Genomic DNA, 3,578 nt, shown 5'->3' with positions numbered 1-3,578 from the left:
TACATGATAAATTTACTAATTCAATATAGATAGATTAATAAATATATGTTACTGAACAGAACTAGGAAACACATACATGTGTACATATGAATATAAAATATCCATAAATATATGCAGAATAAGTATATATATATGAGTTTTTAAATTTTTTTCCAAGGGGCAAATAATTTCAAACATGACTAAGCTGCTACATTGCTACATGAAGCTATAAAATTATTTTTCATTATTTGATATCTACTTATGAGTTCATATAATTTTACTTTGGTCTCTCAATGCTGTCCAGCCATCCTTTTATTTCTTTCTTTTATTATAATGGATGTTACAAATATCCTCCACTCTTCTGCAGTCATCAGTTCCACTTTGGAGTCTTTCATTCTCACAAAATAACCTTGATTCCTTCTTTTCTGGAACTGAATTCAAACAATATGATTCTTCATGTTTGGTGTCTCAAACTGCTTCTTCTGTGTCTTTATCCACCTGCTAAACTTTTTTATGTGTGCTCGTCATCTTGTTTACTTCAGACTTCCCTAAAGCCTGGCTCCCACATTTGTCAACATTTTCTCTTATATCTTCATAAGCCCATTTTTATTAGCTATTTCCACACACCTGTGAACAAACTTGACTTTGTTCTCCTAGTAGAGATTTTTTTCCAGTTGGATATATCCTTAAATGATTCTTTCAGCTTTCCTGATTTTCCTGCAATGTATACTTTTTAAAAGAGTTTTCTAAACTATATTCCCCTCTTTCTTCCTTTGACATTGATTTCTCAGTTATTTTGATGCTAGCTTTTATCCCCAGTCTTCTGTGTTAATTTATTTCTTGAGGGTCACACTGTGTGCCTAAAGACAAACTCTGGAAACTTTTATCAGCGGGAATGTTGATTGAACTCTGTGAACCTGGCTCTCTTCAGACTTGCCCTATGTGAACATTTTACCACCTTCCTACTTCCTCACTGCTTCTGTGTCTCATTCTGCAGCTTCTTTTCAAATCCTAACTCCATAAGTACGTCCCAAAATGCTTCTGTTGACCCCCTTTTATGGTAATTTAGCTAAGATTTTTGGATGCTCTATGTCTTTTTGAATATTTAATGTTAGACATTTAACTTTAGCCAATCTAGTGGAGGTGCAGTAAAAATACATGGTGGTTTTGATTTCCATTTCACTGATGACTAATGATGCTGAGTATATTTTCATGCACTTATTTACCAGTTTTATAGAGGAATATGTAAATATTCTTCTTTGAAATGTCTATTCAAGTATTTCCTTCTTGTCTTACTGAGTTGTTTTTCTTTGTTGATACGTTTGAGTACACTACATTCTGAATGGCCGCTTTTGACCGATGTGTATCTTTCTATCTAGAGCTTTGCCTATTCACTTTTAATAGTGTCTTTTGAAAAGATGAAGTTTTAATTTTGAGGAAATCCCATTTATCATTTTTATTTAAATTTCTGATAGTCCTTTTAGTGTCCTGTTAAATAAATATTTTCCTATTTCATTGTTGTAAAGTTAGTTTTATATATTATCTTCTGGAAGTTGAAAATGTTAATAGTTATGTCTATGATCCATCACATATTAATTTTGTAGTTAATTTGAAGTAGAGGTTGAGATTTATTTTTATCTGTATGGATATTCAGTTATTCCAGTACCATATGTTAAAAGATACTATCCTTTTTAAATCATTTGGCATCTTTGTAGATCAAACCACAGTACATGCATAGTTTTATACCTGAACTCCCTATGGTGTTCCATTGATCTGTTTTTATTCTTACATTACTACCAAAACCTATTTTGATTGCTGTCACATTACAGGAATCTTGAAATCAGATAGTTTGAAGCCTCCAAATTTGTGAGTCTTTTTCAGGTTTAATTTGGTAGTTCTAGGTCCTTTACATCTCCATACAGATTTTAGAGGAAACTTGTCAATTTTTTCCGAATGAAAAACCTGGTAGGATTTTGAATGAGATTGAGTTGAATTTTGAAATGAGGAAAAAAGCCCGACATCTTAAAAATATAGACTCCTTCATTGCATTTACATGAATTATCTCTCAACTTATTTCTATCTACTTTGTTTTTTCAGCAATGTTTTTTCTCCAGTGTATAGCTCCTGCATATCTTCTATTACAATTATTCCTAAATATTCATGTTTTCTAAGTGACAACATACATTTCAATTTACTATTCCAATTCTAAATACTAGTCTACAGAGATAAATTTATATCGATTGGTGACTTTGTTTTCTGTGACTTTACTGAATTTACTTAAGTTGTAATATAATGTTTTTCAATTATGTAATTGTATCAGAAAAATATATTTTTACTTGTTTTATTCCTACCTGTATACTTTTTGTCTTGCTAAAGATAAACCTTTCACATAATGTTAACAAGATATGATAAAAGTAGACATCCTTGCTTCATCTCCAATCATATAAAAATTCCGTATTTTACCATTAAATATTTATTACCTCTAAGAACTTTTATATTCCTGCCTTATAAGTTTGAGGAAATTTTTTAATTTCTAGTTTGCAGAGATTCTTTATTATAAATGTATTGACATTGTGAAATGCCTTTTCTACATTATTGATTATATTTTTATGTAGCTTATATTTTATTAATGTGAATTATGCTTATTTAATTATAAATGTAAACACAATCTTGCATTCTTGGGATAAACTTTGCTTGTGATTTCTTTTTCATTTGTATATGTTTCTTTTGATTTGTTACTATTTTGGTAAGAATTCTGCATGTGTATTCATGATGAATATTAATTTGTATTTTTATTTTCTTGTGATCTTGTCTAGTTTTGGTATTAGAATTATTCAATTATTCTGTCCTTATAAAATGTGTAAGAAATTCTCCCTTTTATTCTATTTTCTGGTTGGGAAACAGTATTGACATTATTTCTTCTTCAAATGTTTACTACAAAATTCTGGTGAAGCTACCTGTGCCCGGAAATGTAACTGTGGGAAGCTTTTTGAATACAAACTCATTTTCTTTAATAAGTATCACACTATTTAGATTGCATATTTTCTGTATCAATTTTGAAATTAAGAGTTAGAGAGTATATCCGAGTTTCCCAAATCGTTGCAGCTGACAAAACACAATGAAATTTTAAGATGAGCAAAAATTGGGCATTTTGCAAATGAAGATAATATTAAGATGTGTTGACAGGGCATAGTGGCTCATACCTGTAATCCCAGCACTTTGGGAGGCCGAGGAGGGCAGATCACAAGATCAGGAGTTCGAGACCAGCCTGGCCAATATGGTGAAACCCTGTCTCTACTAAAAATACAAAAATTAGCCAGGCGTGGTGGCATGCACCTGTAATCCAAGCTACTCAGGAGGCTGAGGCAGGAGAATCACTTGAACCTGGGAGGCGGAGGTTGCAGTGAGCCGACATTATGCCACTGCACTCCAGCCTGGGCGATAGAGCAAGACTCCATCTCAAAAAAAAAAAAAAAAAAAAAAAAGGTGTTTATTTGGAAAGACTTTATTATGACAGCCAGCGAGAAGCGAATACAGAGTGAAATGTGAAACTCCCCAGAGGTATTACAGATAATCACTGATGGGCTGCCCACTTTGAA

The sequence above is a fragment of the Homo sapiens genome, chromosome 10 (assembly GCF_000001405.40).
Source record: "Homo sapiens chromosome 10, GRCh38.p14 Primary Assembly".
NCBI classification, from domain to species: domain Eukaryota; kingdom Metazoa; phylum Chordata; class Mammalia; order Primates; family Hominidae; genus Homo; species Homo sapiens.
This window is presented reverse-complemented; position numbering follows the sequence as displayed.